Here is a 14,537-nt window from a genome sequence, read left to right as displayed (position 1 = left end):
ATGGAGCTATTATTGGATCTATAAATTACTTTGGTCACTATGGCCATTTTCAAAATATACATTCTTCCTATCTATGAATATGGAATGTTTTTCCATTTGTTTGTGCCCTGATTTCCTTGAGCAGTGTTTTGTAGTTCTCCTTGAAGAGGCCCTTCACATCCCTTGTAAGTTGTATTCCTGGGCATTTAATTCTCTTTGTAGCAATTGTGAATGGGAGTTCACTCATGATTTGGCTCTCTGTTTGTCTATTATTGGTGTATAGGAATGACTGTGATTTTTGCACATTGATTTTGTATCCTAAGAATAAGCCATACTTTTTAATATATTTTATTCATAAAAAAATGCACATAAAGCAAATGACATATAGAAACAATATGATTAACATCCACCTCTGGACTCAGTTGGCTTAAGAAAATATGAATATTATCACTACACTTGAAATTGATTGCATATTTCTTCCTTATCACATTCCTCTTTATCTTTCTCCAGAAACCTCTATATCTTTAATTTGGAGTTGGTCATTTTCTTATATTATTCTGTAGGATTTTTTAATATCTATGTATTTCTCACTAATAGATTTTTTAGTTTTGAGATGTTTTTTTCTACTCCATAGAAATGCTATGTATATTTATGCAATTTGATCTTACTGCCTAATATTATATTTGTGTTTTTTATTTTGATTTGTATTATTCTGGTTTGTTTTTTCCTACACTGTATGATTTCATTGTATGAGTATCTCCCATTTATTTATTCTCATGTATTGACATGTACTTCCACTTGATATTTGCTGTGCTTTACCTACAGTTCAATTGTGAACATTATTTTACATGTATTCTGGTGGTTCATGTGTGAGAGTTTCTGTAGGTAACCTGCACACCTGGGCATGAAATTTCTGACTGTAATACATGCTCATGCTGGGCTTTACTAGATAATGCTAGATTGTTTTTAAAGTAGTAGTAGTTTACACTCCATGGCAGCTCTTCATTGTTTTGTGTGTTCCTGTATTCTGTGTCCTTGCCGTTTTAGGTAGATGATGTCTCATGTGGTCTTACTTTGCATTTCTCTGGTTAATAATGAGGTCAGTCATATTGTTGTATTTTGTCATCTATATATTTCTTCCTCTGTGAAATATCTGTTCATGCCTTTTCTTTCTGATTTATAGGAATTCTTTGTGTATTTTGGGTATATATGTTATAAATATCTATAGGATAGATAAAAACAAGCTATCTGATAAGGCGATATGCAGAAATATAAATTAGGTGAGGAAGCAAGCCATGCAAATATCCAAGGAAAAAATCATTTCATGCAGAGGAACTTGTCAGTGTAAGACCCCAAGGCAGAAACACACTTCAAGGGCAAGATGGGCATCAATATGGGTGGAGCATGAGGGAGAATAGAAGAGAGACCATCTATGCAAGGGTAAGTTGGGCCTTGTAGAGCTTGATATGAATTTTAACTTCATTCTAAGTAGGATCAGGAGTCACTGAAAATATCAAGCAAGAATGACATAGTCTGATTAAGTCTTTAAAGTTGTATAGAAAATAGTCTACAAAAAGTGAAAGCTGGGAAACCAGCCAGCATATGTTACAATAGTCCAACTGTGATTGTGGGGACATAAATTATGGTGCAAGCAGTGGAAACAGGTATTTGGATTTGGGTTATATTTTCATGGTTATCCACTAGGATTTGCTGATGTATTAGATATGAGGTGAGAAAATAAGTGAGGTATCAGTAATGACTCTAGAGTTTGGGGCTAGAGCAGCAGGTGTGTAAATGAAGTTACAAACCTAGAAGATGCATGTTTGGACCAATGCATCAAAGTTCTGCTCTAAACATATTAATTTGAGGGGTCTGTTAGAAATACAAGTGGAGATGCTGAGAATACAGTTGCATAGTTGAGTCTAGAGTTTCTTGGAAAAGCTGGGTCTAGGACTGTAAATTTGGTAATCATTAATGTCTAGATGATATTAGAGACATAGAACTAGATGCAGACACCTAGAAAGAGCATAGATATCTAAGAGAAGTCTGAGGACTGAGCTTGGTGTACTCAAAGATTTAGAAGTTGAGAAGATGAAAAAGAGCTAGACAGAGAGACTGAAAGAGTGACTACAAGAATGAAATATGTGGAAGCCAAATGAATAAGAGCGTTAAAAGAAGAAGGAAACGATCAATGTGTTAAGTACTTACCCGGGTTAAGACCAGGACTGAGAATTGGCCATTGTTTTTTGACATTTAGAAATCTTTGAAGGCCTTGCCAAGAATAATTTGGTTGGGATAAGGAGAGGAATGACCTGACTGGAGAAGGTTCAAGGGAGAATTGGAGGAGAGGAAATGAAGAGAGTGATATTTCTCCACGGAATACATTATGTGTGAGAGGGACTATTAGAGGATGCAGACAAGAGGGCAAATGATTTCAGAGAAAAGTCCCTGAGTGGGTGAGAAGGACTAAGATTTGGTATTGAAATGTCAGGAGTATGAATTGTAACAGGAGGGAAGGCAGAGTACAGGGGTAGCCATACTGTAGATTGGCCACAAAGAAAATATTCTCCAAATGGAGCTTCTTTCCCCCTAAGCCTCCCCCAAATCATTACCTCTGCTTCTGATTCAATCCCTCAAAACCTCATCCATCAGCTTGAATGAGAGACAACTATTCAGCCACCATGTCCATCCGCTTTCTTATCCCCCCTTGCTCACCCCCAGCGTCTCAGCCCAAATCTTCCCTCCTTCCAGCCAACAAAGCTCCCATGCCTGTCATCTCCTGATGTCAATGCAGCGGGCAGGGGAGTGGGGGACCACTGACCCCACATGCCTATTCTCTGCTTAGATTACCCAAAATACCAGGTGTCGTTATTTTTCAGAGGTGCAAAAATATAATACAAAGTCATTCTAAACTGTCACTGAATTCAGAGTACTTTTTGCCATTGTCTAGTCACTGAATTCAGAGTACTTTTTGCCATTGTCTTATTTTCTCAATCAACAAATGCTAAGAGTACAATTATATGAAGTTCTACAGATTTATTTGTTACTTGCATTACTTAGTAATGGTTCTTATGCATAAAGGTTAGGAATAACTTCTTTGAACAAATATCCTATATAAAAAAACAACAAAGTGGTTTTTAAAAATCACATTGCTGTTCACATTCCCTTTTTAGTACTCTCTTCTCATATTCTTTTTTAAGCTATGTTAGGTCAAAACAACTACTTTAATAACTTAGCAAATATCTATCAGGAGTCCACTGTGTAGTTAGCAGTTTATAAAGCTTCAGATCTACATTAGTGAGTGAAATGGACCTAGCCCCTATCCTTACAGGGCAGCAAGCCTGGTGGAGGAAGCTATGTTCTCTGAAGGCAACAAAAACAGTCATGCGTCATTTAAGAGTAGGGATACATTTTGAGAAATGTGTCATGAAGTAGTCAATTTCATCATTGAACATCATAGAATGCATTTACGCAGACTTAGATGGTATAGCCTACTACACACCTAGGCTGTTTGGTGTAGCCCATTGCTCCTGGGCTACAAACCGATACAGCATGTTACTCTGTTGAATTTTGTAGGCAACTGTAATGCAATGGTAAGTATTTGTGTACCTAAACATATCTAAAGATAGAGACAGTACAGTAAAAAATACTATCTTATGAAAACACTGTTGTATATGTGGTCTGTCATTGACTGAAACAATATTATGTAGTGCAAACCATACAGCAACAGATAATAAAGACAAGATATTCAGAGTGGGAGATGGAAAAGACAATAATGTATTCCTTCATTCATTTAGCAGACATGTATTGCCAAAAGACACTGGAAAAAATAAATAAAGGTGACAAACAGGTGGTGCCTTTGTTGAAGATTATAGTCATGGACAGGGAAACTTTAGCCCTCTTCTTAACATTATCTTCCCTTAGACACAAACACACACACACACAATTCCTGGCATATGCTATATACTCCATAACTGTTCCTTCCCTTCCCTTTGTGACTCATTCCTTCCCCCAGAAAGCTCATTTGATCTCTGCAAATAATTTTGAATCCCCTTTGTTTTTTAACCATGGCAATTGTTTTGTTTTCCCATCTCCTACAAGTTTTAGCTCAACTCGTTGGGGCTGTTTTTTTTTTTTTTTTTTTTTTTTTTTTTTTTTTTTTTTTGAGGTGGAGTTTCTCCCTTGTCACCTGGGCTGGAGTGCAATGGCATGATCTTGACTCACTGCAACCTCTGCCTCCTGGGTTCAAGTGATTTTCCTGCCTCAGCCTCTGGAGTAACTGGGATTACAGGTGCCCACCACCACACCCAGCTAATTTTTGTATTTTTAGTAGAGACGGGGTTTCACCATGTTGGCCAGGCTGGTCTCGAACTTCTGACCTCAGGTAATCTGCCCACCTCGGCCTCTCAAAGTGCTAGAACTACAGGCATGAGCTCACCATGCCTGGCCATTCCTTGGGGCTTTATAGAACAAGTATAATCCTTTTTCTTTATGACAATACCCTGAGTTCAGAAATCTCAGAGACAAATGTTTACAGAGACCAGGTAAATAAGTAGCTAGAGTGACAAGACTTAAGAAAAGAGACCATTGGCGTACCACCAGTTTGTGGAGGGAACTGGAAAAACTGGAATACACATGCCCCATCCAAAAGCAACCATTGCAACTAAACTTTAACAGATTGTTGCCACCTAAGTAATTCACGGATGGTCTCATAATTCTGGTCAGCATTGTCTGAGCCAAACAAAATGTATCTATGGGCATGATCAGATACTAGAGCCAGCAGATTGCAACCTCTGCTTAGATAATTGCAGGTATCAGCCTTCCCTTGGCTAAACAGCTACTTCATACTGATAAGTAGCCCTTGCCTGGCACAAAGCAGGTGGGGCTGAATCCAGCCTGATATCACATCACCACAACTTTCTCTAATTCTCCTCAAGGCGTCTGTGAACTACCAGCAGCCCAAATAAGCATCCTTTTCTCCTTCAATCATTTCTCATAAAGCAGATTCTACTCATCTCACCATCCATCTTTTTCCCCTAACATATCAGAATTCATCAAAGTAGAAACTCCAGAAATCATCCAGAAATACAAATGTGATCTGACCAGCACGGGTATAAACTTTCTCTTTCCTTAATTTAGAAAAAGGATTATTAATTTTGAGTCTTAGATCTCATAAAAGTAGAGCTGGATTGATTTTAAGGGATCAATGAACCTACTGAAATTGTATAAAAAGATTTTGTGGGGCTGGCAAACAAATGCTTTTCTTTTAACATATTCTTAAAAGAACAAAACCTCAAAGAAGATTTAACAACCACTATAGACTAAGTTTCAATTAATGTAGTCTGTAGCATTAGATTTTGGAAGGCTGTTCTATCAGAATATGGACCAATACTGAGCGTAGTCGCTACTAAAACTCTTTGTCTTTTTATTCATATCTTCTCCTAAAAAGCTCCATGACCCCTGCAGAATACTGGTATAATTACCCACACCTCACCCACCCAGTGATTGTTGATGTAACTAATTATTTAATCCAAGTCTGAGGCCTAAATTTTTTTTAATCAAGAGTTAGTTACATGTTTTAATTTATTTTTTGTAATTTTAATATCTAACACTTTTATTCTATTTCATTCGATTGATGCTAAAATGCATAATGCTATGATTCTAAGACTTAGGAAAAATAATACTATACTGGGATATGGAGTTTATATATATTTACATGAATTTCTTTTTTTTCTTCTCTGTAGGTCGAAAATTTAAAAAGTTCAATAAAGTCAGAGTTGTGAGAGCACTGGATGCTGTTGCTCTCCCACAGCCAGTGGGCGTTCCAAATGAAAGCCAAGCCCTAAGCCAGAGATTCACTTTTTCACCAGGTCAAGACATACAGTTGATTCCACCACTGATCAACCTGTTAATGAGCATTGAACCAGATGTGATCTATGCAGGACATGACAACACAAAACCTGACACCTCCAGTTCTTTGCTGACAAGTCTTAATCAACTAGGCGAGAGGCAACTTCTTTCAGTAGTCAAGTGGTCTAAATCATTGCCAGGTAATAATAATTTTTATATACAGCATGTAATAAAAAATATACTATGTTTGTTGTATTAGTACATTGTTAAATAAAACACTCTATGCAGTAAATTAACTACAATATAAAACAGTATGTGATAGTATGTGTTTGAGCAGTTCAAAATATTTGTCTAGGACCCTAATATGTGTTACAGAAATATAAAAAATTAGAGAACACACTGAGTCTTACTGATGAGTCAGAAATTGCATACATTAAACTTATGCTAATAAGAAATAGCTTAGGTTTATGTGTTCAACCACAGATATTAGAGTAGCTCAGAAATGATAAATGGACCATTTTTTATAAATGCCCTATTTATTCTAACCCTTAATTCAACCAACCTCATTTGGTTGAAAATAAAACTGAATGTATAAAGTCATATAACAAATCAAAGTAGTATTCAGAGTACAGTAAGGTGTCAAAAGTAAATTAAGAAAACAAAATTCCCTAACGTAAATTACTTTAAAAAATAATAGCACACAGAGAAAAGAATCTCTAGTCACTATTCCTCTAATTTATACCCAAAGAGAGTATATCGCCCAGCAACAGAGAGAACTTGGATTATATCATCACAGAAGAATTTCAGTCACTTTACTTATCAGCTATTTTTGCTCCCTCAGCACAGCTCTGTAGGAGCCAAGTACTTGAAAGAATAACAAGGATGAAATTCTCACTTGGTTAAATCTTAGACTGCAGAGCCAGGAGAATACATGTATAGCAATTGTTTGTGAAGGCATTACTCCTATAATTAGAAATAGAACTTTTTAAAAAACTACATTCTCTTCACATCAGTAATACCCTTATACTGCTATAGACAAATTATTTTTCTAATATCTGATCAAGAATTAAACATATTATGTCCTTTTAGTCCCCAAGTAAATTCAATGGCACTTTTAGAAAAAGAATTTCTTCCCAATTCTCCTTAATATAATTCTCAGTTATTATTCTACCTAAAAGGTTTGAAATACAATAGATGAATTGTTACTGAAAATTCAATTACATGAAACAGAAAGAAAAATAGATACCTGTTTGTTGAATCTTTCAAAAAATACATATTAAGAAAAGTTAATAGAATTCAGTATTCTAGTGGAGATGAAGTAATTTTATAGAAAAATCAAAATGCCCAGATTCTTACTGGCTTCAGTCTCACCAAAAGGCCTTAAACAGACAATAATTTTTTGAACATTCTAAATGTTTAAGATTTATCACATAGTGGTTATCAAACTTGACAGAGCTTTAATAAATAAAAATAACCCAATAGCATTGATGAACTTTTTCTGTTTAAAAATGAGTGTTTAAACATGTGTTTAATTTTTCTCCATTGTTCTATTATTTGGAAAATATGATTTCTTTGGTTTTTGTTGATATAGTTTATATTCCTTTTGTTTGCAATTTTGGAGGTTCTTTACTATTTAAAAAGATTCTAGCATCAGCTGGTAACGTTAGAAAATAACCAGTTATACTTGAAAAGATGACTTATTCACTTTGGATAAAAGCTAAGTGACCTTTTTAACCGGAAACCGTTATCTATCAGGACTTTTTGACCCCCACACAACCACAAAAAGGAATGAGAGAAAACTCTTACATTGAATTTGGTGGCAACTTTTTTAATGCTGCAAAATGTAATTTTTGTGTAGTAAATCAGAATAATGGCAACACTAGTATTACCCATACTGTTTCCATTAATTGCAAACAGGGAAACATTGAGATTATCAAAGTCTCTTGTGGCCTGTGGACTTTTAAAGCCATATTTTCATGGTCTGCATTTTGGGAATAGCACTATTGAATGAATTATGAAAATGGTCAGTGAGCTAGAGTGACTATTTGACCTCTGAGAAAGGACTTGGATGGACACATGTATAGAAAGTACTTTAGTATTATTAGCTACTTAAAACTGATTTCAATTGACTTGAAATAAGCTTACAGTTTTTATTCACTTATTCACTCAATAAATGTCTATTATGTACCTGCTGTGTTCAATATCTAATAATTATACAGTGGTTTAGAAAGAAAAGCCACAAGGCTGGGCTCATGGTGTGGATGCATTTTGGTACAGCACATGCTAGCATCTGGTCATCAGTTTTGCATGTAAAAGAAATTTATTTCGTTCATTCACTCATGTGTAATAAAACTAATAAGTCTGTGGAAGACAGACTTTTGTTAAGTGATCCTCACTAATTAGCCAGAATGTCAACTAACTTGCTTATTTACAGTGAGACACACACACACACACGCACACACACACAATATAAATATACATAATACTTATGTTGCTAGGAGAATATATTAACAGATCAGATCATTCTTTCACAATAGGAAACTGTATTTGGAAAGTCACATTAAGATCTGATGCAGAATGACCATCATAACAAAGGTGACAGCGTTTATGAAGACACCTAGGCATATATTTGCAGGTGCCCTAAGAATTCTTATTGCCTGGTAGGGCTTTCTCATTTCTTCTTTGTCTACACTCTTCCATTATCTTGGATCTGTTATAATAATGGTAGTTTATATTTCTTCAAAAATATTTCAGATATATCCTTTTGTTTCTTTTCTTTTTTTTCTTTTTTTTTTTTTTTTTTTGAGAGAGGGTCTCACTCTATTGCCCAGGCTGGACCACAGTGGCATGATCTTGGCTCATTGCAGCCTGGACCTCTTGGTCTCAAGTTATCCTACCACCTCAGCCTCCTGATGAGCTGGTAGCTGGGACTACAGGCATGCGCCACCTTGCTTGGCTAAATTTTTTTTATTTTTAGTTGAAATTGGGTTTAACTGTTTTACCCAGGCTGGTCTTGAACTCCTGGACTCAAGTGATCTGCCTGCCTCAGCCTCCCAAAGTGCTGGAATTACAAACATGACTCACCGCACCCCACCCCTTTTACTTTAATAGAGACTTGCAAGATGCTCTAGCCTTATGTCAGCACGTTTATAAACCATCTCTTAGGATACATTGCAAATGAGTGATTTTGCATGGGCTTTTATCTGTAGCCTTAGTGGGCAATATTTTCTTATTTGAAATGTAGAGCAACACGATATTTGAATTTTTTTAATGAACAAGACATATTCCCTCTATTAAGGAACTCTCAATCCAGTAGCAGAGAGAAGATACCCAAACAACTATAGTGTTATGTGAAAGTGATATAAGATACAGATATAATGAAAGTGGGGACAGAAGAACATTTTTGGCTTCAAGGACTAAAGAAGCCTTCAGAGACAAAAATGTCAGTTAAACTGCATCTTACAGGAGAAACAAGACTTTGATAAATCATGATAAGAGAAAGCATTCTAGATAGAAGGAACAGTATGGCTGAAATAAGAAAAGCATGAGATAGGTTTGCTGAATAATGCATTAAACCAGCATATTAATGGTTCTCAACCTTTTCAAGTGTGGGGGGTCCCTTAGTAACATCAAAAATTTTATAGTCTCCCCATAGGGTAGTAATTAAAGCTTTTAGTAGCTATGGATTGAGAAAACACATTTGTACATACAGTCCCTCGGACACTGCTACAGTAAGTACTGGCCTTCGGGAGATTTAATCACCCAAATGGTAAGAAACCATTGAAAAGAAATTTATTTTGAACTGAATAATGGAAAGTAAACTTAGAGGTGTAAGTTATAGGCTGATCAAGGAGGGTCTTAAAAATTACTGTAGATGTTAGAGTTTAAATTAAAAGTACTAATTCACAATTCGGTGTCACCTTTAAATTGTCCTCATCCTGTACATCAATACGTTGCAGTGAAATTGATGTGACAGAGGGGGTATGAGGGAAACACTTCCGTTGCATAAATTTTGTCTTGATATTTCAGTTAACTTAGTGAAAACTCCATTTAGGTCAATGCTTTGAATTTTTAAACCTTGCATTTTTTAGGACATACTTTATTCTTTGTGTCATTTCACCAGACTACTTGCAATTATCAGTATCAGAATATTAGAACAGTATTTTGCCTCATTTTTCTGCTTTTGAAGCGTGCCAAAACAACTTTTGAGTCAGTGAGTCATTGCATCTTGACAGAGGATTTTTTCTCTTCCTTCCCGAATCAGAAGACTAAATTAAATTATTGCTCTCCAGAAAAAAATGATGAGAGAGAAATGAGAGTAGCATACTGAGAGTAAAGGCCTTAATAAATGTGTTGATAAAGACTAAACCATGGTTTTTCTCACACCCTATTCCACTGAAATTATGATTGCCAGTGGCAACAAAAATTTTTACTTGTCAAATTAGATGAATATTTCCAGCCCTTAATGTGTTTCACCTACCTCTGGGACTATTGGCAAAGTAACTATTTCTTGCTAAGACTCTTGCTTAGGTATTTGTCACTTCCCTTCCAGGTAGATATGTTTCTCTCCCTATGTACATTTCCCGACTCCTGTGTGGATTTGTTCTTCCACCCACACTATAAATTTGTTTGTGTTCTGGGTTCTATCTTTTCCAGTCATTTCTCACTCTACACAGTCTGCATAAGCTCATTCATAGTCTTGTCTTCAACTACCACTATATTTCGATGACTCCTAAATACATAATATTAGCCAGACCCTCTACAAAACTACTGAACTTTCAACTGCTTATTACACAGCTCCACCCAGATGACTTCTAAGTCAGCATGACCCCCTAAACCTAAGGCCTTTTCCAGTATCTTGAAATGGCACCTCAGCAAGAATTTTTGGTATCATCCTTGGCTCAGTTTCTCCTTCACCCCTTACCCAATAAATTGTCAAATTCTATCAACTCCACTTATTAAATATATGATTCATTATACATGCTACTTCTGTTGCTACTTCCCTGACTTAGTTTGGTGCTGGTCTTTTTTTACTTGGATTCATGTTGCAGCCTCCTGACTGATTCTATTACCATCAATTTCACGTGGTGCCCAAATGATCCTCTATTCTACCCCCAGAATCATTTTTCTAAAACAATTTTAATCAATCATATTTTCCATTTCTTTTTCCAAATAGCATCCAAACTCCATGGCCTCAATATCCAAGGGCTTTCTGTGATCTGGCTCCTGAATTTGCAGTGTTAATCTCTCATCATTCCTCTTCACACGACTCTAAGATCTAGTTCCCTAAATGCTGTTTGCTCAAATTCTAGCCTTCTTCTCTTGCCCATATTATTTTTCCTACCTGGCAGCCCATCTCTTTTCCCACGTCTTCCTTTGACTGACCTGTAACTATCTTTCAGGATTCGCATTACTTGTCACTTGCTCTGGGAAGATTTCTCTGAGCCTTCCTAGACTGGGTGAGGAAACCCTGTACCCTCCCTTGTCTCCTTTGTGCTTGTCAACCATAACACTATGACTCTGAGTTACAATTGTGTTCTACTTTTCTATCTGTCTCACAAGCCTATAGTGTTAAAGGCAGAAACAGCATCTTTCTAACCTTGATCCTAATTGCAAGTATAATGCTTCCTCCCAAATAGATGGTTAAAGAATATTTATAGAAATTTAAATTACAGAATTGATTTGCAAAGAACTGTACTACCTTAGATTATTAGACATTAACTTCTTATTCAGCATAAATCATCAAACATACGTTGGTGATTATACTTAATCATATTGAAGCTTCTTTGTGCTTCTCAACATTGATACTTGTGTATGAAAGTTGTTGCTTTGTGTCAGAAGGTGCTGAGATATTTAATGCTCTGCCATTGTTGTAGATTATCTGTTTCAATTACATGACATTTTTTACAGAACCAAAACCTACATATTTTATCAAAACTCTGGGAGTAAGATTGGGGAACTTAGTAGTACTGTCATACAGGCCATCTTTTTTTTTTTTTTTTTTCTTGAGATAGGCTCTCACTCTGTCACCCAGGCTGGAGTGCAGTGGCATGATTGTAGCTCACGGCAGCTTAGAACTCCTGGGCTCAAGCCATCGTCCTGCTTCAGCCTCCCCAGTAACTTCAGCCTCCCCAGCACTACAGGTGTGCACCACCACACCTGGACAAGCTTTTTAAATTGGTTTGTAGAGACTGGGTCTTGGCTGGTCTCAAATTCCTGGCCTCAAGTGACTCTCCTGCCTCGCCTCCCAAAGCACTGGGACTACGGGCATGAGCCACCACACCCAGCCCCAGGCCATCTCTTCACTATATACTTTCTGTTAATTCTTTAAGCTAAATTTGGACAGCTGTAACAGGGCTTTTGTCAGAAATTATCAGGTCAAGTCACTTAAAAGGAAAAGTGTTTTTTTTTTTAACATTTGTTAAACACAATTAGTGATAATCCATCACTTCTCCATGTGAAGGTTTTTCATTTTGGTCATCTCAAATGTACTAAGTTTACCTGATCATTATCATCACTGGGAATTTAATCTCTGTGTTCCCATCTTTGTTTCAGCATAAAGTAATGAATGATATTACAGTTAATAAGGAAAAAAATAGCATTTCTATACTAGGCATGTTCAAGTCAATTTAACATTGTACATTTATCACAGATAAGCACTGTAAAAGGTGGAGTAAATAAAGGTTATTTTCTGAGTTCTATTCCATTCTGTCAAACAAACAGAAATATAGTTTCTGCTATAAATATTGGTAATTTTATAAATTTAAAGTTATTGTAATAAGATTTGCCTTTAATGTTGTCATAAAATAAAAGTAAGCCTGGATTTCTAGTCCCAGAATGCAAAAACAAAGAAAAAAGCAAAAAGACGAAAACAAAAACTAAGAGTAGGATAAAGTGAATGTAAACATGTAAATGTAGACAGGATCTGTTTTTGGATAAAGAACAATTTAATTCTTACATAATTTTGTAAAATGTTTAAATGTTTAAAACTACTCAAAGGTTAACATAAAACAAATGCCTGAAGTGAAAAATTACAGCATAGTTAAGTCAAATATTTAAATATTATAAAATACTTTTTTTAGAAAGTTATAAAGTTCACCAAGAAAGATATAGAGAATAATAAATGTATTTGTGGAGATTATTGTGAACACTTGGTTAATGTTTTAATACATCTGATTAATGAAAACGAACTTTCTATGAGCCTTTTTTTTTTTTTTTTTTTTTTTTTTTTTGAGATGGAGTCTCGCTGTGTCACCAGGCTGGAGTGCAGTGGCACGTTCTTGGCTCACTGCAACCTCAGCCTCCTGGGTTCAAACCATTCTCCTGCCTCATCCTCCCAAGTAGCTGATGAGACTACAGGCATACACCACCACACCTAGCTAATTTTTGTATTTTTAGTAGAGACAGGGTTTTACCATGCTGGCCAAGATGGTCTCAATCTCTTGACCTTGTGATCCACCCACCTCGGCCTCCCAAAGTGCTGGGATTACAGGCGTGAGCCACTGCGCCCAGCCCATTTTTTTGTATTATATGAAATATATAATTTGTTATATATAACAACACACATAAAATATATATTCTGGAAAATATATATTCCAGAACAAACACATAATTTATCTTTAAAATTTTTTCACCATTATTTTTTATACTTCAGTTCTATCTTATATGTTCTATAATATATAAAATGCCTCCTAACACTTTTTTTTATGGCATTGTGTTTTAGTATTAGAGACTTCCCATTAAACTGACTGGTGGATTTCATACTAGTATTACTCCAATGAGCAATTCTGTTGCATTGATAGACCAATAATAAATATCTCCATAGTGTTCTACAGTGTGCATAATTATCCCATTTGTCTCATAGCAACTCACTGAGTTAGTTATCATTGTGAATTGTGATTTTTACTTATGAAGAAATTTAGATTCAATGATAATAAGTGATGTTTCCAAAGTGGCTGTTAGTAAGTGGTAGAGCCAGGACTGGAACTTGGGTCTTCTGTCCTGAATGCCTTCCAATTTGTTGAGACAGATCAGCAATAGGGAGGTTTATATGTGCCTCCCTTTAGAAAGGCTTCCTTTTCAAAAATTAAGACAATTCATTGATCTCTTGTCAAATGATTCTAAATTTTATCACAAAATTACCCATTTTTATAGTCTCTTAAATATTTGACTTACAAGCAGCATTTATGTATTAGATTTATTGTATTGAGCTTTATAATTTTCTTAAAAAGTTATTATGTAGACCTATACTTGAAGACACGTTCAAGTCATATGCAAATTAAAAAATGATAAAACTTGCATACCAAAAATTTTTTTGGCTGCTTAGTTAGAGAGTCTTTCTGCACCTGAGTAAACCAGGATTCTTGGATGCCAGTATTAAAAATAAACTATGTTAATTATAAAACACACAAGCAACAACAAAAAACCCTGACTTTTAAAAACAAAAGAAAAAGAAAAAAAATAATTTACTGAGAGGACAACAGGGGTTCACTGAATAGAAGCTAGAGGACAAGCTTAGAATATGGGCAGAAGCCAAGGCACATCTGAAGGGCTAAAAAGCAAGCATCACAAATCCTCCCATTGGTTCTCATTATCTGGACACCACCAACATCAAGAATAAATAGTCATATCTTTCTCTTTGCTTTAGTATTTTCTGATTCAAATTCCTGTTAGTATATGTTCCATGGGCCAAACCTATGCCCCAAGCC

At 35.7% G+C, this 14,537-nt stretch overlaps 1 protein-coding gene across 8 annotated transcripts in view; it reads left to right on the top strand.

Annotated features, from left to right (window-relative positions):
• PGR (progesterone receptor) overlaps window positions 1-14,537 on the top strand; it is a 100,190-nt gene that overhangs the window by 61,338 nt on the left and 24,315 nt on the right. For 6 of the 8 annotated variants that reach the window (NR_073142.3, NR_073141.3, NM_001271162.2 and 3 more), the window contains one exon: window positions 5,724-6,029. The exons of the other annotated variants lie outside the window; for them this stretch is intronic. Coding sequence is in view for 4 of the 6 variants with exons in the window: in NM_001271162.2 (NP_001258091.1) it covers window positions 5,724-6,029 (306 nt within the window). In the remaining 2 variants the exon portion in view is untranslated. The remainder of the gene's footprint in view (window positions 1-5,723; window positions 6,030-14,537) is intronic. 8 annotated transcript variants of the gene reach the window in all.

This window comes from Homo sapiens, chromosome 11 (genome assembly GCF_000001405.40).
Source record: "Homo sapiens chromosome 11, GRCh38.p14 Primary Assembly".
In the NCBI taxonomy this organism is placed as follows: domain Eukaryota; kingdom Metazoa; phylum Chordata; class Mammalia; order Primates; family Hominidae; genus Homo; species Homo sapiens.
The sequence above is the reverse complement of the archived record's forward strand: the minus strand, read 5'-3'. Positions and strand labels throughout refer to the sequence as shown.